Raw genomic sequence first — 22,662 nt, forward strand, 5'->3', positions numbered from 1 at the left:
CATGGCGATCCTCTTATTGGGTTTTGTCACGAATGCCAAACAACATCTTCTTTTTAAATCTGGGATACTTTTTATACTATAATATCCACCAGGTTATGTACCTTGAGAGGTAAGACTGCTTGCGCCACTGCCTAGACCTGCTGTGTTCCTGCTCTGTGCCTGCTCAGAGATGGCACTCTTGTTTGCCAATCAGTAATGGTTAGACCAATATTCCCAAGGGGTATATGCTATCTCAAGAATCCAGGACAGCTTTTCGGGCATTGTGCTTCTATTTTAGTGGTGGGGGAGATGAGATCTGATAATTTGCTAGTTACTCTAAAGGTATGAGATGTAGCAATGTGCTCTTTACCATGGCATTCTTGGAACATGGAATCACTAAAAATCTCAGTGATATGGTGGGTCCTTGAACCTTCATAGGATCTTTTTTTCTCCTATTTTCTGGAGCTTATATGTCTCATAATAAATGTCTTTACCAAGCTAGTCACTGACTCATCCATATAAATTTGCATGGTGTTGATGCTATATAGTCAAGTGGATCTGTGTAATGTAGTGAAGAAGTCTGGATAGGACAGTTTGCTTTGGACTGTATTATCACAGAGCATAGGAGACTTAATACAGCCTGAAGCAAGAATGTCAATATATACTATTCTGCTTTCCCTGCAGATGTGAACTTCTGTTCCTTTTGTTCCTGATGAGGATGGAAAAAATGCATTTATAAGATTAATGGGCACATATTATGTACCTGAGAGCATATTTACCTGCTGCAGCAAAATTCTTTTGATATGTTCATAAAAAATAAGCCAACTAATTTCCTCTCAAAAAACTAAAAGACACTGAAAATGTTATAAAATAAACTACATAGGATCCACGAATGATCTTTACTAAATAGAACATCATCAAATATTGAAAATGCTGTCATGTGGAAAAGGAATTGAACTGATACTGAGTGAGCACAAGGCATAAAATCATGACCAATGTACAGAGAGATGGATTTTATTTCAATACATGGAGGAATTTTGTAGCTGTGTTGTACAAGGATGGAATGGGTGACTTGCGAGGTAGATCATTCCCTGATATTGTAAGTCTTTTAACAAGAGTTTGACAGCCTCTCGAAGCATGTAGTTGTGGTACAAGCTGCAGAATATTTTGTGTAAGTGATTTTTGAGAATACTTTCAATGCTGAGGTTATATAAATCTAACATATTCTCTACGGGCAGTGATAATATTCAGATATTCACTTACATGTTCATTCATTTGAAAAACATGTATTGAGCATTTGCAGTGTGCTAGGGCTAGGGATGAGATATTTTTGTTGGCTTTGTTTCCTTCAATAACTATAATAAAAAAGTTTCTGCTATTTGGGAAATACATCATACTGTCAAACACCAAAGAGACTTTGAACCTTCAATGTTAATACGTAGTTATGTTTGCATTTATTCATATACACAAATTTAATATTTCAAATATGTATTTCAGTTCTTTCCAAAAAATAAAAAGGTAATCATGAATAAAATGTTTTAAGACCTCAGTACTAGTTAGAAACTGGCTAATTAAAAATATTCGTATTTTAATTTGGAAGATTCTGCTAATGATAATATATAATGGGGGTATATCTCCATGTATCGTGAGTACAATTTTTAGAATCTATTTGCAAACTCCTCTTTACCAGCTGTCTTAGTCCGTATTGTGCTGCTGTAACAGAATACCACAGACTGGGTAGCTTATAATAAACAAATTAATTTTTCTCACGGTTCTGGAGGCTGAGAAGGCCAAGATCAAGGTCCTGGCCATTTTGGCTGGCTGGTGAGGGCTGCTCTAGGCTTCCAAGATGGCTGCTTGTTGTCACGTCCTCCAGAGGAGACTGGTGTGCCCTCACATAGTGGGAGGTGGAAGGGCAAGCTAGCCACACGCTACCTTGAAGCCTCTTTTTTTTTTTCTTTTATTTAAGGGGTACATACACAGGCTTGTTAGATGGGTAAATTGCATGTTGTTGAGGTTTAAGGTACGAATGATCTCATCACCCAGATATTAAGCAGAGTACTTGACAGGTAGTTTTCCAATCCTCAGACCTCCCTCCCTCCCACTTCTAGTAGTCAACAGTGTCTATAGTTGCCATCTTTATGCCCACGTGTACCCAATGTTTAGCTCCCACTAAGAAGTGAGAACATGCGATACTTGGTTTTCTGTTTCTGCATTCGTTTGCTTTGGATAATGGCCTCCAGCTGCATCCATGTTGCAGCAGAAGACAAGATTTTTGTTCTTATTTATGTTGAAGCCTCTTGTATAAGGGCCTTTATCTCATTCAAGTGAGGAGGAGCCCTCATAACCCAGGCACCTCTCAAAGCCCCCACCTTTTAATACCATCTAATTGGCCATCAAATTTTAACACTTGAATTTTGAAGGGGACACTTTCAAATCATAGCACCAGCTTTATGGAAAAATACTACAGTTATGGTGTCCTTTATGAACTGCAACAGACATATCCAGCCTTTGTTTTGCAAGGAATTCCCAGTGAAGTCCCAGACAAAAAAAAAAAAAAACAAAAAACAACTGTTCTTAACATCTTTATAAGCAAGAAAATATAATATATATTTAGAAATCTTGTTTAATGTGATGTCAACATTTCTTTTTTTATAACATTTCAAAATATTTAATTTTTATCATTTTACTTTGCACTCTTCTTACATGGTTCCTGTTTCATGAAAATAGGATCTTTCAAACTGTGCTTTTCTTAACATTATGCATATAAACTTTCCAATTCTCTGGGAAACTCCTTATAGACATTTAAAATTTTTATAAAGATGCTTTCAATGACTATTAAATGTTATCAGATCATTTTATAACATTTCCCCTTATTTTTGTTTGGTTTTATGTGTTGTATGTATATATATGTGTGTATATATGTATATATTTGTGTATATATTTATGTATATATGTGTACTTATATGAATATAAGTATATATTTATGTATATATGTATACATATATGTATATAAGTATATATGTATATATGTATACATATATGTATATAAGTATATATGTATATATGTATATATAAGCATGTACTTGCATATATTTATATTTTACCTTTAAAATATTATTTATACTATATTCCTTTTATGAATTTTTTATCTTTCATCCTGAAAATAGGACTCTTTAACCAAGAATTTATAGATGGTCACATGGAAGTTTGTGAGCTTCCTAAATTTGTATGGAAACATTATGTCTATATTCATACTTTTCTAAAGAGAGGATCTGTTTATCTTTAATCAAATTTTCAAAGAGTTCCACACTGCAAACAAGAAACAATTACATAATATTATTCTTTACTCAATATTTACTTCCCTGTGTTTTTAACTTTTTTATTATATTTTAACTTCTGTAGTACATGTGCACTACGTGCAGGTTTGTTAAATAGTTATAATGTGCCATGTTGGTTTGCTGCACCCAACAACTCATCATCTACATTAGGTATTTCTCCTAATGCTATCCCTCCCCTAGACCTCCACCCCACAACAGGCCCCAGTGTGTGATGTTCCCCTCCCTGTGTCCATGTGTTCTCATTGTTCTTCTCCCACTTATGAGTGAGAACATGTGGTGTTGTTTTTCTCTTCTTGTGTTATTTTGCTGAGAATGATGGTTTCTAGTTTCATCTATGTCCCTGCAAAGGACATGAACTCATCCTTTTTTATGGCTGCATAGTATTCTGTGGTATATATGTGCCACATTTTCGTTATCCAGTCTATCTTTGATGGACATTTGGATTGATTCCAAAACTTTGATATTGTGAACAGCCTGCAATAAACATATGTTTGCATATGTCTTTATAGTAGAATGATTTATAATCCTTTGGGTTTATACCCAGTAATGAGATTGTTGGATCAAATGGTATTTCTAGTTCTAGATCTTTGAGGAATCGCCACACTGTCTTCCACAATGGTTGAACTAATTTACACTCCCACCAACAGTGTAAAAGTGTTCCTATTTCTCCACATCCTCTCCCGCATCTGTTGTTTCCTGACTTTTTAATGATTGCCATTCTAACTGGCACAAGATGGTATCTCATTGTGGTTTTGATTTGCATTTCTCTAATGACCAGTGATGATGAGCATTTTTTCATAAGTTTGTTGGCTGCATAAATGTCTTCTTTTGAGAAGTATCTGTTCATATCCTTCACCCACTTTTTGATGGGGTTGTTTTTTTCTTGTAAATTTGTTTGAGTTCTTTGTAGATTCTGGGTATTAGCCCTTTGTCAGATGGATAGATTGCAAAAATTTTCTCCCATTCTGTAGGGTGCCTGTTCACTCTGCTGATAGTTCCTTAATTTCTCTTTCTTTGCAGAATCTCTTTAGCTTAATTAGATCCCATTTGTCTATTTTGGCTTTTGTTGCCATTGCTTTTGGTGTTTTAGTCATGAAGTCTTTGCCCATGCCTATGTCCTGAATGGTATTGCCTAGGTTTTCTTCTAGGGTTTTTATGGTTTTAGGTCTTACACTTAAGTCTTTAATCCATCTTGAGTTAATTTTTGTATAAGGTTTAAGGAAGGGATCCAGTTTCAGTTTTCTGCATATGGCTAGACAGTTTTCCCAGCAACATTTATTAAATAGGGAATCCTTTCCCCATTTCTTGTTTTTGTCAGGTTTGTCAAAGGTCAGATGGTTGTAGATGTGTGGTGTTATTTCTGAGACCTCTGTTCTGTTCCATTGGTCTATATATCTGTTTTGGTACCAGTATTATGCTGTTTTGGTTACTGTAGCCTTGTAGTATAGTTTGAAATCAGGTAGCGTGATGCCTCCAGCTTTGTTCTTTTGGCTTAGGATTGTCTTGGCAATGGCGGGCTCTTTTTTCATTCCATATGAACTTTAAAGTAGTTTTTTCCAATTCTGTGAAGAAAGTCAGTGGTAGCTTGATGGGGATGGCATTGAACCTATAAATTACTTTGGGCAGCATGGCCATTTTCACGATATTGATTCTTTCTATCCATGAGCATGGAATGTTCTTCAGTTTGTTTGTGTCCTCTTTTATTTCCTTTAGCAGTGGTTTGTATTTCTCCTTGAAGAAGTCCTTCACATCTCTTGTAAGCTGAATTCCTAGGTATTTTATTCTCTTTGTAGCAATTGTGAATGGGAGTTCGCTCATGATTTGGCTCTCTGTTTGTCTGTTATTGGTGTAAAGGAATGCTTGTGATTTTTGCACATTGATTTTGTATCCTGAGACTTTGCTGAAGTTGCTTATCAGCTTAGGGAGATTTTGGGCTGAGAAAATGGGGTTTTCTAAATATACAATCATGTCATCTGCAAACAGAGACAATTTGACTTCCTCTTTTGCTAACTGAATACTCTTTTATTTCTTGCTTTTGTCTGATTGCCCTGGCCAGAAATTCCAATACTATGGTAAATGGGAGTGGTGAGAGAGGGCATCCTTGTCTTGTGCCAGTTTTCAAAAGGAATGCTTCCAGTTTTTGCCCATTCAGTATGATATTGGCTATGGATTTGTCATAAGTGGCTCTTATTATTTTGAGATACGTTCCATCAATACCTAGTTTATTGAGAGTTTTTAGCGTAAAGGGCTGTTGAATTTTGTTGAAGGCCTTTTCTGCATCTATTGAGATAATCATGTGGTTTTTGTCATTGGTCCTGTTTATGTGATGGATTACGTTTATTGCTTTGTGTACATCGAACCAGCCTTGCATCCCAGGGATGGAGCTGACTTGATCATGGTGGATAAGCTTTTTGATATGCTGGTGGATTTGGTTTGCCAGTATTTTATTGAGGATTTTCGCATGGATTTTTTCAGGGATATTGGCCTAAAATTTTCTTTTTTTGTTGTGTCTCTGCCAAGTTTTGGTATCAGGATGATGCTGGCCTCATAAAATGAGTTAGGGAGGATTCCCGCCCCCCCCCCTTTTTTTTGTTTATTTGGAAAAGTTTCAGAAGGAATGATACCAGCTCCCAGCTCCTCCCTGTACCTCTGGTAGAATTTGGCTGTGAATCTGTCTGGTCCTGGACTTTTTTTGCTTGGCAGGCTATTAATTATTGCCTCAATTTCAGAACCTTTTATCCTGGCCTAGACTTGGGAGGGTGTATTTCTCCAGGAAGTTACCCATTTCTTCTATATTTTCTAGTTTATTTGCGTAGAAGTGTTTATAGTATTATCTGATGGTAGTTTGTATTTCCATGGGATAGGTGGTGACACCCCCTTTATCATTTTTTATTGTGTCTATTTGAGTCTTCTTTCTTTTTTCTTTATTAGTCTGGCTAGCAGTCTATTTTGTTGATCTTTTCAAAAAACCATCTCCTGGATTCATTGATTTTTTTGAAGGTTTTTTTTTTTGTGTCTCTATCTACTTCAGTTCCACTCTGATCTTAGTTACTTCTTGTTTTCTGCTAGCTTTTGAATTTGTTTGCTCTTGCTTCTCTAGTTCTTTTAATTGTGATATTAGGGTGTCGATTTTAGATCTTTCCTTCTTTCTCTTGTGGGCATTTACTACTGTAAATTTCCCTCTACACACTGCTTTAAATGTGTCCTAGAGATTCTGGTACGTTGTGTCTTGTTCTCATTGGTTTCAAAGAACATCTTTATTTCTGCCTTCATTTCGTTATTTACCCAGTAGTCATTCAGGAGCAGGTTGTTCAGTTTCCATGTAGTTTTGTGATTTTGAGTGAGCTTATTAATCCCGAGTTCTAATTTGATTGCACTGTGGTCTGAGAGACTGTGGTGATTTCTGTTCTTTTACATTTGCTGAGGAGTGTTTTATTTTCAATTATGTGGTCAATTTGAGAATAAGTGTGATGTGGTTCTGAGAGAAATGTATATTCTGTTGATTTGTAGATGTAGATGTCTATTAGGTCCTCTTGGTCCAGAGCTGAGTTCAAGTCGTGGATATACTTGTTAATTTTCTGTCTCATTGATCTGTCTAGTATTGACAGTAGGGTGTTAAAATCTCCCACTATTATTGTGTGAGAGTCTAAGTCTTTTTGTAGGCCTCTAAGAACTTGCTTTATGAATCTGGGTGCTCCTGTATTGGGTGCATGTATATTTGGGATAGTTAGATCTTCTTGTTGCATTGACCCCTTTACCATTATGTAATGCCCTTCTTTGTCTCTTTTGATCTTTGTTGGTTTAAAGTCTGTTTTATCAGAGACTGGGATTGCAATTCCTGCTTTTTTTTTTCTTTCCATTTGCTTGGTAGATCTTCCTCCATCCCCTTATTTTGAGCCTATGTGTGTCTTTGCATGTGAGATGGGTCTCCTGAATACAGCACACCAATGGATTTTGACTCTTTAGCCAATTTGCCAGTCTGTCTTTTAATTAGGGCATTTAGCCCATTTACATTTAAAGTTAATATTGTTATGTTTCAATTTGATCCTTATATTGTCATTATATTGCTAGCTGGTTATTTTGCCTATTAGTTGATGCAGTTTCTTCATAGCGTCAATAGTCTTAACAATTTGGTATGTTTTTGCAGTGGCTGGTACCAGTTGTTCCTTTCCATGTTTAGTGCTTCCTTCAGGAGCTCTTATAAGGCAGGCCCGGTGGTGACAAAATCTCTCAGCATTTGCTTGTCTGTAAAGGATTTTATTTCTCCTTCACTTATGAAGCTTAGCTTGGCTGGATATGAACACTTCTATCCTGAAACTACTTCTGATGTTTTATCTAAAAGATGAGAAAACATTATTTGAAATATCACCTCAGCATATCATGAAAAGCAAATGTCATTTAAGAAAGCGTGTAACCTATGATTTTAAAATTAATCTGGATTATATCTATTTTACAAAAGGTTACATTAATTTCAGCAAAATGCACAGACTTTTGTCTAATACAATGAGCTCAGATGTTAAAATTGCAGAGACATACATTCATTTCACAGATTTGTCAGTAGTAGCTGAGTGACTTACTGCAAGTTCCTTTATCCTCCTGAGCTTTGGTTACTTATCTTTGAAAAGGGGGTAATTCTTACTAAAAGACAGTTGGTTACAGAGGTTCTCCAAGTATTAAATTAGATAATAAATGTAAAACATGTTTAACTATGTACCTGACACATAAATGAGCACTTGTCGAACAGTATTATAGATGGTATAATGAAAATTATCATTAGTAACAATAATGCATTATTATTACTAAAACTTTAATCATTAATAATCTAGTAGTGGTTTTAAAGGCTTAATGTCTTGGATCAAGATACTTTGAGTTTAGCTGAGGGTAAATGTCACCATCAGATTAGATTAGAGAGGACTTTTCTCCTCTATTTTGGGGAATAGACTGACTATTACATTACATGCAATTCTTTTTTTATTTATAAGCACTAGGAATGGAATTCTCAAACCAACATCTTTATTTTATCCAATGCTCTTAAATTAACATATGTGTACTTACTATAATAGAGTAGACGTAGCTCTTAGGGACTATTCAAAATAGAATAGTGGTACATTATTTATGGCATTAGTTTCCATTTGTTACTAAAAGCAAACTTTACACATGATAAACTCAAGGTTTTTATGTTTTGATTATAAAATTGGTGAGTTTATAAAATAAAGAATAATAGAATACATGTTTATGGGTAGTTAATACTTAGATTTAGTAATTAAATTTTCACAAAATAATTTTACAAATGTATCACACAGTTAATGTTTTTTTCTAAATTTATAAATTACATGCAATTCTTACTGTGATTTACAAGATAAATTTTATCATAAGTGATTAACTAATAAATGAGATCTCACTATCAGCATGCTTTTCTGATTTCATTCTGCCTATGTAAATGAAACTTTATAGTAGAGAAATTTTTAACATCTCAGAAAACATCTTTATGTTTCCTGTTTTGATCATCACCATAACCCTTGAAATAGGTATAATTTTCCCATTCCACAGTTCTACAAGATGACAGGCAGGATAGTTTCATGTGTTTTCGGGGTCATTCAGATGGTAAGTAATGCAAATGGATTTTGAACATAGATTTTCCTTGTCCCAGCTGTTCTTTTCACTGCCGCTATGTTGACGGCATACAACTTCTTAAAGCTTCTCAAAGGGGGATCTCAAAGATATATTTACTTATCTTGGTGTGAAATTAAAAATCTCAACTCTTATGACTAAAATAATATTGTGTACCAGAATTATTAATGTAATTCATAGGCATTTCAGACATGATTAACATGAGCTTCTATCATTTTAAGATTTTATTTACTTGTTTATTTATTATAAACATAATCAAAACTGAAGTGTTTAGACAGAATCACATACTGAACAGGGAAATAGTGAGTGTTGGCTATTGCATAGAATTTGACAGTGCTATATGCTGATGACTTTATACAGAATGTATTAGTGTTAAGATGCACTGCATGTGAATTTGGTTTTGCCATTTGTCCCTAGTTACTATCTCTCTCTCTCACTCCCCACCAATACTTTAGCACATCTATCCATGCATAGTAATAGCTCCCTATTTCATATGACAAAATATTTTTATGAGTATTAAGAGACAGTTAACATTTTGGCTGCATAGTTATGCTGATAGAAATTACATGTGTATATGTGTGCAAATATATACAAAAATATATAGAAAGGAAGAGTCAAATTAGATCCTCAAAGACTTCCAAAAGAAAAGAGAGCAGAAATACTTTACATCTGAAATCTTGTGAACTTGAGTTTGTTTGGATAATAGAAAGATGGCTCAGTACAGGTTTTAGAAAGACTAGCTTGTCAATAAAATTTATTGAGCATGTTAACGAATGGCTAGCTATGAACCTTCAAGTTGTTCAGATAGGATCAGAAGGCAAGGATAGCTAAATCAGTTTAGCCTTTCAAAATGTTTGCATTAGAAGTTTGAGAGGCCTATATGCAGTTAGTTAAAAATCCATTGTGTCTTACTTGCACAATATGGAACAGGATAATTTAAATTCTTATAAACTAGTAATGTTTGGAATCTTTTCATTTGCTTTTGATAATTGCTTTTAGAGATAAATACGCTTGAATAGCACAAAATTAAATACATTCTTTGCTTTGGTCATTAAGTGCTTAACATAATTATGTTAATTAAAACTTTATAATCAGATTTTCTGTAGAGATCATCTTTTCCAGTGTCTAAAGTGCTGCCTTTGGCTGCATTTGATGCTATTAACTCTTCTGCTTTCTAATGGGATAAGGAATTTTGCAACCGCTAATCCAACTTCATCTTTTTGGCCTTATCAACTTCATTTGATGAAACTGATCACTCCCTTCTCTTTGAGACAGTTTCTTCACTTGACTTCATTTTGCAGCACTAACCACTACTTAACTGCTTTCTCCTGATCTCCTCAAGCTCTTTTTATTGGCCACCTTTGCTCATTCTCTCATCTATATACACTCACTTCCTTAAGTACTCTAAGTACTTCTTCATTTATATCTCCAATTTAGATTCCATGTACTCACTTACTCCTGCAGAATTCCAAAGTCTTATATCTGAATGTTTAGTCAATATTTTCACCATTAGCAATGTCAATTCGATAATTCTAAAATGAACACTTGATTGTGTCCTTTAAACTAGTTTCTCTGAATTTCTTCCCATCTCAGCAAAAGACAAATTCAATTTAGCCAGTATTTGGATCTGAAACTTGGAATATGTTGAGTCTTCCCTCTCACATCCTACATTCATTTCAACAACTTCAATGCAGTTTCATAGTCAGAATATTCTGATAATATTTTAACCACTTTCATCATCTCCATTACCCTGATGCAAGACATCACCATTTTTGGATTATTGCAACTAGTCTCGCCTTGCTTCCTATCTACCATGTAATCTATTTCCTGCATTGTCACCAGGATCATCTTGTTAAAAAGTAAGTCCTATCTTGTCCGTCTCTAATCAAGGCCCTTCACTTGTGAAGGCTGAGTGAAGGCTTCCCCTCTGACTCAGACTAAAAGCCAAAATCTCTACAATAAATTATATTAACATTATTCCCTACTCCATCACCTCTAGATCTTAGGTCCATTATTCTCCACACTCAGGGCCCTCTGTTCTGAGATCCCAAACTCCTACCTCAGGGCCCTTCACTTGCTGTTCTTTCTATTTAGAATTCAATTTCTCATGACATCCAATGGTCAATTCCTTGCTTCTTTCAGATATTTGTTCAAATGTTACCTACTCAGGACTGTCCAGTATGCTTTATCAGAAATTACAGTTGATTTTTGAACAACAAGGGGGTTAGAGGCACTGACCTTCAGCATAGTCAAAATTCTGTGTATAACTTTTGACTCCTCCAAAACTTTACCACTAATAGCCTATTGTTGCCAGAAGCCATGTTGAATACATAGTCAATTAGCACAGATTTTTTATGTTATACGTACTATATACAGTAGTCTTACAATAAACTAGAGAAAAATATGTTAAGAAAATCATAAGGAAGAGAAAAATGTATTTCTTATTCATAAGTCCTCATCCTCTTTGTCTTCACGATGAGGAGGCTGAGGAGGTGCCGGAAGAGGCAGGGTTGATTTTCTTGTCAGGGGTGGCAGAAGTGGAACAAAATCTGTGTAGAAGTGGAGTCTCATAGCTCAAACCAGCATCCTTAAAGTGTCCTTCGTACACCACTGTAACTTTTGGGATTCTATATTGCTTTTCATTTTCACTGCTTTATTTTCCTCCATGTCTTTTTTTTTTTAAAACACTAGGCCCCACAATTAATATATTTTTGCTGTGGATTGTCTGAAGACAGGATTTTTTTGCCTGTGGTGTTCACTATGGTATCTTCAATGCCTGGATTATATAATATACTCAATATATGTCTTGTTAACTGAAATTAGTATGTTTCAGAAGGGAAAATGTTAAAACATTTTTGGTTTATTTATTGCATATTCATAAATATCTTGCCTGAAAAAGATTGTGTATCTAATATATAATGTGTGCATGGCGTTCTTTATTTTCTCTTTCTCCAAAAGAGAAAAAGTAGAACATGCCATGTGTCATTCAGTGGCTTCTTTAGCATGTTTCACTGGCTTCGCTTATTCATTGTATCTCCTTAAAATGTTCGCCATGATATTTTGTATTGAGCTATTATAAAAATATATTTTCTACAAATTTAACATTCTCTTTATTACCATTTGATCTCATCATTCCAAAAATTATTTGAATTTTTCACTTGAAATAAATGAATGTAATTTACTTGTTCGACACAAGCAAACTTGTGTTGAAGTTGACATGCAAAACACTCTTTCTAAAATGATGCAAGTATTTTACATGAAAAGATAAAGGTCAAATCTAAGATTAAAATCTGATATATGATCTACATAAAATTATAATTATATGAACTAAAAAATACAGAATTATATTTACATAATGTGTAAAATATAAATGTATGGTTACATTACTGTACCCCCTTCTTCATACTCCACAAAAAAATATGAATAGAGAGGATTTCAGGTTATAAAACTAGACTATCATCTTTCCAAAACTCAGCTTTTTTGTTTAGCTCCTTTAATCTTCTCACAAAGACAGAAATAAAAAAGGGAGAGAGAGAGAATTAATACCTTTGTCATGGAAAGAAAATAGTAAAATATTAGAAAAATATGGTATAGTGGTTAACAGCGTGGAATCTGGCACAAAATGCCTGGGATTAAGTACATGCCCTAGCATTTGCTAGCACTTATTTGGGAAAGATGCTTACCACTTACTTGCCCTTGTTTTTTAAACTATTAAGTGGAGATATTGATAGAAACTACATAATTAAATTATTTATAAGATTAAATGACTTGGCCGGGCACAGTGGCTCATGCGTGTAATCCCAGCACTTTGGGAGGCCAAAGTGGGTGGATCACCTGAGGTCAGGAGTTTAAGATCAGCCTGGCCAACGTGGTGAAACCCCGTCTCTACTAAATATACAAAAATTAGCCGAGTGTGGTGGCGCACGCCTGTGATCCCAGCTACTCAGAAGGCTGAGGCAGGAGAATAGCTTAAATCCAGGAGGCAGAGGAGGTTGCAGTGAGCTGAGATTGTGCCATTGCACTCCAGCTTGGGCAACAAGAGTCAAACTCTGTCTCAAAAAAAAAAAAAAAAAAGATTAAATGACTTAATGTTTGGAAAAGACTTGGATTACATGTCTGGCATGTAGTAAGTGCTAAATAAGTGTGTGATAACTAAATAAATGGGAAAAGAAAATATTACAATAAGATATAGTATACTGGTAGAGGAAAAACTATTTGGAAGTATATTTTATTACTTAGAGTTTAAATTTCATAAGGTAAAGAATCTTGTCTAGTTAGAAAATATTTAGGTCAAGTAGAAATAGCCTCCTTCTTTCCCTTTTAGTATTTGTCACTTTTTAATTTCTACCACATTTAATTGCAAGCACCTTTTAACTCCCTTATGGCGCTGAAAATTCAAATGTTCATCTCTGTATCCTCTGTCAAACAGCACCTGAATATATATAGAAATGGACTCAGGGCTCTTTTGGTAAGGAATTTAGATGATAGTGACTGGGTAATATCACAATTTTAATATGTAATTTGATTCTTGTTTTTCTTTATAGTGTAGTGGCAAATATTGAAATGCCAGAGGAAAAAAAATGGAAGACTTTAGTAATGTATCTTAATTATACAAAATGAATTGCATAATTTATAATTTAAATGTATTTTTATTAAAATTGCTGTTTAGTACATTTATCTCTCCTTTTTCATTGCAGAATGCTTTTGTTTTCAGAAACAGGTAATTTAGCCAAATACAGAGTAATAAGAAAGTAGTCTAATAGTTTATCCAGAAAGAAAACTTTCAAGATTTTTCATATTCCAGGGATCTCTATCAGATAAAAGAAGTATGAATGCATCTTCATTTCTACACACATTATCTTTATGTGTATAGATGAAAATGAATGAAATGAAAATAAACACTACCATTTCAAGATCAAAGATAATGGATACATTTCAATATAATTTCTTAAAAATTTAAAGTTACTATTTTATAACCTTAAAAATAACTCAATTTACATTTTCTCTTACAGTCTTGTTATTATATTTAACAACAAAATTTACCAACTTACAACTCTAAAGTGATGGGGTAAAAACTCATACCCCAAAGTTTGTTGCTGATGACATTCGTTTGGTTTGTGAAACTACAGACTTTCTCCAGGCATTATCTTTTCAGTTGTAAACCTTTTAACCAGTTCATATGAAAATATCTGCTAACACAGCAAAATCATGAGTGCATGTCTTTCAAATTAAGTTCCATTCATGTCATCATGTTTTTAAAAATATAAGGTAATAAAAGTCTTTCTACCCTAAAGTAAAGTCTTTCACTATCTTTGTAGCAATTGAACTATTCTACTGAACCCAATATATGAAAACCTTTCCCTACTGCTCCCCTCATCTGGTTTCTAATCTAGTTAGGCCTTCTTTATAACTCCCTACTTCTGTGCCTTTGAATATCTAAAGTGGATTAAGAATGGCCACACATTCTCCGTCAAACTTTTCAGTGAGATGTTCATTTTATCCCCTACCTCCACCTCATCCTTGAATCTGGGCTTGTCCAGTGTCTGCTCCCTAAGAGAGGCTGTGCCAGTTCCGGACTTAGCTTTTAAGAGGACTTGACAGTTTTTGTTTTCTCCCTCTTGGAACACAGGTTCTTGGGTTGCTCTCTCTTGGATACTAGCTACCATGGTATGAGAAGCTCAGGCCACATGCAGGGGCCATATGGAGGGAAGCTGAGGCACTCCAGTTGACAGCCCCATGACCCCCCAGCTGACAGTCACTGCCAACTGTCAGCCATGTAAAGTAGCCATCTTGGCTCAGCCCATTCAACCTCCTCGGCCTCAGCCTGCGTCACAGGAAGTGTAACCACCCAGCTGAGCCTATTCAATGCACAGAATCATAAGAGAGATAGCAAAATAATTTGTTTTAAGTCGCTACATTTTGAAGTAGAGAGATAACTAAAGCAATAACCTTCTGCTTCCTTAAATATAGGGCTTAAATTTGGCTCAATTTAAGGTTAGTACCAAGCACCTTTGGTAATTTATTTCTATTGTCTTTATGTTGCATTTTCAACTAGAGTGTAAGTTATTCAAGGTCACTGAATATTGCTGTTTTCTTTCCAATGTGTCCCTATAGTTATTAGTACATTATTAGCAGCATGGGACTCTGATAATCTGAGGTTGCCAGTTGAATCCTAACAGAATGGAAGTGCAAATAGGGCATAGAATGGGTGACTTTCTATGTAAGTCAAAATGTAGAAGACCATGTCCATGTGTATTCTATATATAATATACACATATATTATACATATAATATATATTATATATAATATATATGATATACACATATATACATACAACATCCACACACATTTATATTGGCATTTAATCTGGATTATCTGAGCAAAAAAATTAACTGTCGTCTGAAGTTTTTTGTTTGTAAACTCAACCTAAAATACCCATTTTAGCTAGACACATTGTCATCTGTTGGTAATTTACATGAGGAATTGTGAAAGAATACCAGACTGAAGGGAAAAGAGAAATTATGCTCTGAATCAAAAATAAATAAATAAATTATACAGAAAAGGAGAAAAAGCTAAAGTTATGGTCTGGAACTATGCTATAAAACAGAAGTAAACATAGTAATTTTCTCCTTTCAGTTTCTACCATGTATTCTGCGTGTACTTGATTGGGGAAGTAATAGTAATTAACGATTTTCTCTGAATGGGTGCTGTATGCAAGACCATTTGCTAGTTTAACAACAGTGAAGCATGTTTCAACTCAACACCCTGGATTCAACAAATAGAATGCTAGTATGTCTATTCCTGATCCAAGACTATTTTTTAAGGTATTAAAAAACAGGTATTGTTTAAAATGTGAGAGATTTTACTTTTTTAATTCCAAGTGCACTTTTGAGTTATTTTACTTTGAAAATTAATAACTGTATCAGTACTTAAAAATATATCCAATATAATTAAATGATTCTCCAAATTTATTTCCTTGAGCACCTGACAATATTCCCAGGAAACCTCTCCCTGCTATGTTGCTTCCCAGAATTCACATTTCTGTGTTTCAAAACTGCACTTCCTTAGAGAGAAAAAGGTTAGAAAATAACGCAGACTACAAAAGGCATAGTGTATGTGTGGGGGTGGGGGTGAGGAATTAAGTCCCTTGCACTCTAGATTAAGTTGCATTTATATAAAATCTAAAGGTAATTGGTCTTTATATAAAGGACACATTCAACAACATTTATTAAATATATTTTTAGACTATTTTAAAATTCAAGTGATTCACAAAAACAAATATTACAGCATAGCGCTTTATTCATGCCATCATACAGTCGATCTGTATTCTTCAAGTACATTTTGAATTTATAATGAGAACAGTTTAAGGCATAACTCTTCCCACTCAAATCTAGGTCTTTCTCAAGTGAGACACTAGAGAGAGTAGAAAGGGAGGAAGAGATAGGGCGAGAAGAAAAGGAGGGAGGGACAGAGATGAGGACGAGAAAGAAGAAAAAAGGGAAAGAGAAAATACCGTCTGAAGTCCACAGGCTTATCTATCCCAAGCATGTCTACCCCACGCATGTGGGCATCATATCCAGGTTGTAACAAAGAGGTGACCATGGCGTTTATTTTTGGCTCCAGACAGGCGGATTCAGCCTGCATTGCATGCATGCATGTCTGTCACCTCATCTAAGTCCCCATTCCTTCCGGAGTTGTGAGCTCCAGATCCAAGAGTGCCCAGTGCACGGTGCTGGGCACGCTGTCCCTTGGCGAGGCTGCCACAGGTTCCTGAGTGTGCGGTCAGGGGCGTTGGTGCATTGATACGTTAGGCGGAGGGAGGAGTACCATCTGCCAGAGTCTTATCTCGAGTCCCACGTTTTCTGGCCATCGCGGAGGAGTGTGCGAGGACAGGTAGCCCTCGCAGTGACAAGGCGCGCGGAGTGCGGTCGTGCAAGGCGGGGGAGGAGCGGGGTGGCCCTGCCGAATCTTAACCGGGGCCCCGGGTGTTTGCAGACCCAAATAAAGCCGCCTTGGGTCTCCACGGTGTCCTCCAGAAGCTGCTGCCTGAGAACTCTGAGCCTCAGCTCTGTCTTGCTTCGGGATCCTCTTCCTCCTCCTTCCCCACCCCCTACCTGGCCTGAACGGCGGAACGCGCGGCTCGGGGGATCCCCTCTCCCTGGGACCGGCCCTGTCCCGGGTCGCCTCCACCTCCCGCAGCCGCCGCGCCCCGGCTCGCCGCGCTCCCGCCGGCACCATGGAGGAATTCCTGGGACAACCGCCTGCAGCCGGCGACTTTTCCCCAGGAATCTCTGGCCTGGCGCCCTTTGGGTGAGATGACGGGGTGCTGGCATCCCTGTCGGTCCCAGATTACCCGGAAAAGCCCTGGCAGGTAAAGAGAGGACCCGCGCAGGCTGGGAGCTCCCACTCCTCCTCCAGCGTCACGCTCGCCCTCCGCCGCTGCCTCGCGTCCGGGTCTGTTTATATAGCGTCTGGAGGCCGGGAGGCATTGCCCACCCCCGCCAGGCGGCCCGCCCTCCCCTCCTGGGCTCCGGGCTGCCGCACGTGGCAGACACCAGCGACGTCTCCGCGGAAGGCAGGCGCCGGGGAGTGGGGCGCGGGCGACCGTGTGCAGCCGCGGCGCATCTCCGCCTTCCGCTCCTCCTCGCAGCGCCCTCGTCCGCTTCCAAGCCCAGCACAGACTTCGGTTTCTCCGCCTCCATCCCCTTTACGAGAAGAGGAGATCAAAAAATATTGCCCTTTAGGTGCTCGTGATGGTCCTGTGGGTTCGTTCAGTTGCCAGAAAAGAATGGTAACATGAACAGCGGAGCGTGAGAGCGTCACCGGGGGAAGGGACGAGATTGATGGGCAGAGCGCTCACTTCTCAGAGGATCGCATTCCGAGGACCGCGCGAGGAAGGGACGTCGCGGCGCCACCACTTCCTGGCTGGACTCCGCTGACATCTGTAGCCTCCTTTCCACCAGGTTCCCGGGGCTCCCAGCCGCTGCCTGCAGAGGAGCGTGTAGACAGCGCGCGAGGGTCCGGCACTTCGTGGACCTCCATCCGAACCGGAGTTCTGCCCGGATCCCGAGTCCCTGGATCCCGGTGGAGCCCGCCGGCAAGCTGGCTCCGGAGGGAGTTGAACTTGAGTTCAGGTGGGTTATCCCAAGGGGAGCACAGGAAAAGATGTTCAGGGAAGACGAAGAAGGTGACGCTGTTCCAATGTCAAAAGCGGACACTTTTCTTCCTGACACTTGAAGGGGTTGAGCCAGTTCCTCTCAGTTCTGTCTCCTAACCCGCTCCACCCCGACCCAGCCCTCCCACACTAAGGAGGTGGGGGGCGAACAACAACAACAGCAACAAAAACTCCCAGTTACCTAAGTATCTAGCAGGCTGTTGACTTTTTTATAACTTACCTTTAGTCAATGAAACGACCATATTTACTCTATTGCTTTATATTAATGGAGGTCAATGGGCTTAATGATTTCTTTAGTCAAGTCATTTATTTCTAAGCCAATAGATAATGCCTTCGTCATAGTTTTCTGGGGGGAAAGTAACTGTGCGTTTGTTCTGCAGATGGCCAACTCCCTCTGAATCCTGCAGATTGGTGCTGAGCACGCAACAAAAGTTTGTAGCTTCTCAGTTTCTGGTGCTTCGCAGGGGAGAGGAAAGGAATTTGACATTAAACACAAGAAGCAGTCAGGGAGCCATCTCCTTTAACTTTTCTTCTCTGTTACCATTTGCAATGAAGAGGAAACAGAAGAGATTTCTGCAGATGACTTTGTTGTTCACGGTGGCTTTAATTTTCCTGCCTAACGTTGGTCTCTGGTCTCTGTACAAGGATAAGCACCTGGTGAAGTCAGCGGAGCCCGGGGAGCAGCAGGTAAGTGCCACCCAGAGAAAGATCACACAAGGATTGGTAAGGCAGTGATCCTCGCGCGGGGACTCGAGAAAGCCGGTGTGGGATCGCCTTGGGTTTTCCCCCAAGTCTTGACAGAGCTGATTATTACAAGACTCTAGAGACTTTGGGGTTTAAGCAAGTAGATGTTTTAAGATTGCAGCCAGTAACATCGTGACATGTACAACTAGTAAAGAAGGATAAGACAGGTCAAGAAGAAGAGAAGATAATCTTTCACCATTGGTCTTAGGTTGATTTTGACTTGAGGTGGATGAAAGGTAACTGTTCAGCTATGGAGGTGGGAGTGGGTTTGGTGCAAGTTTAATGACAAGGATAGGTTTTTGCTTTCCATTTGGCATGCATGTCTATGTTCAGGTGAATTGGGCCAACTAAATCATTAAGATTGTGAAGTGGTTCTTTAAAAATCAAGCTATGGTTTTCAGTATTTTGGTTGTAAATTTTGCTTAGCAACAGCTTTTTACCCTGTCGAAACTTAAAGTCTCTCTTTCGTCTCCCCTGTTGCTAAGGTGCTGCCATGGGGCACACAGGCAGAGTTATTAAGGACGTTCATTCCGTTTCACAGTCGCTTGATAACAGTATGTTGCTAACAGCTTGCTGTCATATTGGAAACACCCATACTAAAGATATGTAGTATAATATGTTTTCTTTCTACTTAATATGTAACTCATTAGTATGTATATACCTCATGACTTAACATGGACCAAAATAACTGTGTTCCCTGGTGAACAATAATGCAAAATAGACTTCCCAAAATGTTGATGAAAATCAATGTTGTCGAATTCCTTGTTTGTTAATAAATAAAATAGCTTCCGTAATTAAACGTTTAACAACAGAATGCAGTCTTCTTCATGATATTGATAAACCACTTTTTCAGTTAGTCCTGTGCATCACCTTGGAATATTAATATTCTTAATTTCAAGGGTCATCACCCATGAACACTCTGTACCTTCCACACATAGAAAATGTTGAAGTAGTCCATTCCTGGAAAACAGCAATATATAGTAATGGCCATTAAATATTTGCTCTTATACTTAATGAAGTTTAATTTTCTTTTTGCACAGTGGTTAGTTGTGCAATATAAAGAGGTAATCTGCTTTTTCATTATGACAAGAAATCATTACCAGTCTCTAAACTTTAAAGAGAATGAGTTGTCCATGGATTTTTAGTGGATTGTTATTTCGAGGAAAAATGTTGACATATTTTCATTTAGTTGTTAATATTTATTATCCTTTCTAATAGGAATTCAACTTTGGTTTGAAGTATATTCTGTTTTGTCATTCCAGTGAAAAAAAGAAGATGGACACTTTGGATGTGAAACTTTTTTTGTTCTTATTTACATCATTCAACCCTTGATGTAAAACAGGATTTTAATAACTTTAGTAGTCAATATGCTATTATGTAAAATCTCCACTCCATGCTGGTAAAACAGGAAAGGCAAAATTATTTTTTCTTGAAATTTGCTAATTCAATTAACAATAACCATCTGAAGTATTTGCTGGTATAGCTAACATAAAGCGCTAATTAATTTTATTAATGAGATTCTTACAACTTTCACATTGACTCTATAATTTTGACCCTTAATGAGAAAATTGTTTGTCTAATAGCAGAAAAAAAAAACTGTGACAGTTTAACTCTCTGATCTGTCATTATAATAATTGACTGTTTCCTTATTTCTGGTTCTTCTGTAGTGCAAATGATACTTAATTTCAGGTAATAAAGTAATGGGTATAAAAGACATGGGGTGGCAAGAGAATTTTCGTATACTGTAGAATAAATAACTGAAATTGATTGATATTGTATGACATTCCAGTTTAATAACTCTATGTAGAGGCTTTGAAACCAAGTGGGGAAGAAAATAAGCCCCAAAATGAATGTCAGTCATCTACTTTAATATTACCTAAATAATGGTTTTAAAACTAATACTTTTTATAGATTAAAAAATAAAATTTAAAAGGTAAAAATTAATTGATTACTTAATGAAAAATATAATTCACTGTAAAATAGAAACAGTTCATTTTCATTGGTTTTATTCTATTATTTATTATAATTAGAAGGAAAATTAGGATATGTTGTCCTCAATAAGCAAGTTTTGGGTAAGTAAGAGTTAAGTCATTAATATTGATATTGGAACAAATAAAAAGCAACTTTTAAAACATGCTTAATATTGTGATGTAATATTTGGCTAATGTATGTGTATATTGCAATGTTAGCAAGGTGGCTAAACACATAGGTTTTAAATTGAAACATAATTTGGCTACTGGGTAATATGTTATTTCTATTTAGCAATTAATTTTTAAAGGACATTTTCATGGTTAATTGCTAAATGTTCCCCAGAACACATTTACTACTATACTTCTCCCCAAGTTGCAAAATATTGAGGATGAAGATAATGTGCAGATCAAAGCACTGACAGCAATAAGTACTGAGGCTAGTCAAACAAGTCACATGCCCAAATGAGTGAACTATTTTTACAGTACTTATGTGTAAAACAGCCAAGGGTTCTAGTTCTGAGTATCATGTGGTAGTGGTCATAAGAGCTGAAAAACTTGCACTGTTTTAAATAGTTTAATTATTAGAAAAGGTTACAGGGAAATAATTTAATTTATGGAAATTCAAAATTATGGAATGGCTAATTCTTTTAAAATATACGTTATTTATATTTTAGCAGATGATATCACTAATAATTTTTCTATCTAGTATTGAGTACAAATTGTACTAATTCTGCAATCTGAAGTAAATAAAATAAAGGGAAGTGAAACAGGAAACACTGATGGGAACCATGTGGATTAATTTTCACAATGTTTAGTATTTAACACTTTTTTTCTCTAATCTACTGTCTGATTACACATTAATTGTTTGTATTTTCTAGACCTTCATTTAAAAATAATATTTAAGATAATTTTCTAATATTTTAAAATCTTCTGCATTTATGTTGCAGAAAATGAAACAAGGACGTAAAAATTACCAAGTTATTTATTTCAAAGTTTTTCTTTTTCCTTTACTCTCAGAAAACCAAAGAGGATCGATATAACAGTTTTAATAACATGATACAATTAAAAGTTTTTTATGGTTTGGGATCTGCAAAATTGAAATCAAGTCACTGAAATAAATATGAAGTTTTTGAGATTTTAAGATTTTATAAAAATTATATTTTTAAATTTTTATTTAGATGTTACATTATTATAATTGTGATGTGTTATTTTCAATTGACTTAATTTTGTCTTTTTTTGTTATTGGGATGATATAAGTATCTCCTTTATGTCATTTAGAAATATATATGTATATTAAAAGAATCTACTGATAATATATTTAGCTGAGAATGATTGCTATATAGTCATTGTAAAGTAATTCTTAGCTTCATTTTTCTGTTTAAACATTTGAAATGCTCCTCTTCTCTTGTTTCAGCTGTATTTGCATTAAATACCACTTACATATTTAGGTCATAAGCTGTGAGTTAGGATGATACATAGAATAATACTATATTTTAGAACAAAACTACTATATCCAGTCTTATTGTATTTCTCTTTTCTTAATCACTTATTCAAGAATATGTGAAAAAAAATCTAGCACCAAATACTTTCTTTTCCTAAATACATTTTTAAAAACCCCAAATTCCAAAAAAAGTAACTGTAATAGTAGTTTAGCAAGTAACTTGGAAATAATATTAATTACAGAAATAATTCAAGAATATTTAGAATATGAAGAGGATCTTGCAATTTTTTAAATAAAAATGAGGGCCAAAATCTTAGAATTTTAAAACAGATCAGAACTGTTCAGAATGATTTTAGAAGCTTATATTGTCCTAGATTTTC

General features: G+C 36.2%; 1 protein-coding gene and 1 long non-coding RNA gene across 3 annotated transcripts in view, besides 2 other annotated features; one reads left to right on the plus strand and one right to left on the minus strand.

The window, feature by feature from the left end:
- Positions 1 to 16,233: 16,233 nt before the first annotated feature.
- LOC441052 (uncharacterized) lies at positions 16,234 to 17,703 on the minus strand. The gene has a single exon (NR_134656.1). It is a non-coding gene; the product is annotated as an uncharacterized LOC441052 (long non-coding RNA).
- Positions 17,421 to 17,470: a silencer, noted in NCBI's record as "silent region_15802". NCBI's record gives its function as "represses an Ori minimal core promoter by ATAC-STARR-seq in GM12878 lymphoblastoid cells {active_cell/tissue: GM12878}" and the evidence as "EXISTENCE:reporter gene assay evidence [ECO:0000049][PMID:35858748]".
- GALNTL6 (polypeptide N-acetylgalactosaminyltransferase like 6) overlaps positions 17,500 to 22,662 on the plus strand; it is a 1,228,156-nt gene continuing 1,222,993 nt past the window's right edge. For both annotated transcript variants that reach the window (NM_001034845.3, XM_017008243.3), the window contains exons 1-2: positions 17,500 to 18,086; positions 18,508 to 18,814. In NM_001034845.3, coding sequence (NP_001030017.2) covers positions 18,677 to 18,814 — 138 coding nt within the window. In that variant the 5' untranslated portion in view covers positions 17,500 to 18,086; positions 18,508 to 18,676. The remainder of the gene's footprint in view (positions 18,087 to 18,507; positions 18,815 to 22,662) is intronic.
- Positions 17,711 to 17,860: an enhancer, noted in NCBI's record as "active region_22152". NCBI's record gives its function as "activates an Ori minimal core promoter by ATAC-STARR-seq in GM12878 lymphoblastoid cells {active_cell/tissue: GM12878}" and the evidence as "EXISTENCE:reporter gene assay evidence [ECO:0000049][PMID:35858748]".

Source organism: Homo sapiens, chromosome 4 (assembly GCF_000001405.40).
Source record: "Homo sapiens chromosome 4, GRCh38.p14 Primary Assembly".
Taxonomy (NCBI): domain Eukaryota; kingdom Metazoa; phylum Chordata; class Mammalia; order Primates; family Hominidae; genus Homo; species Homo sapiens.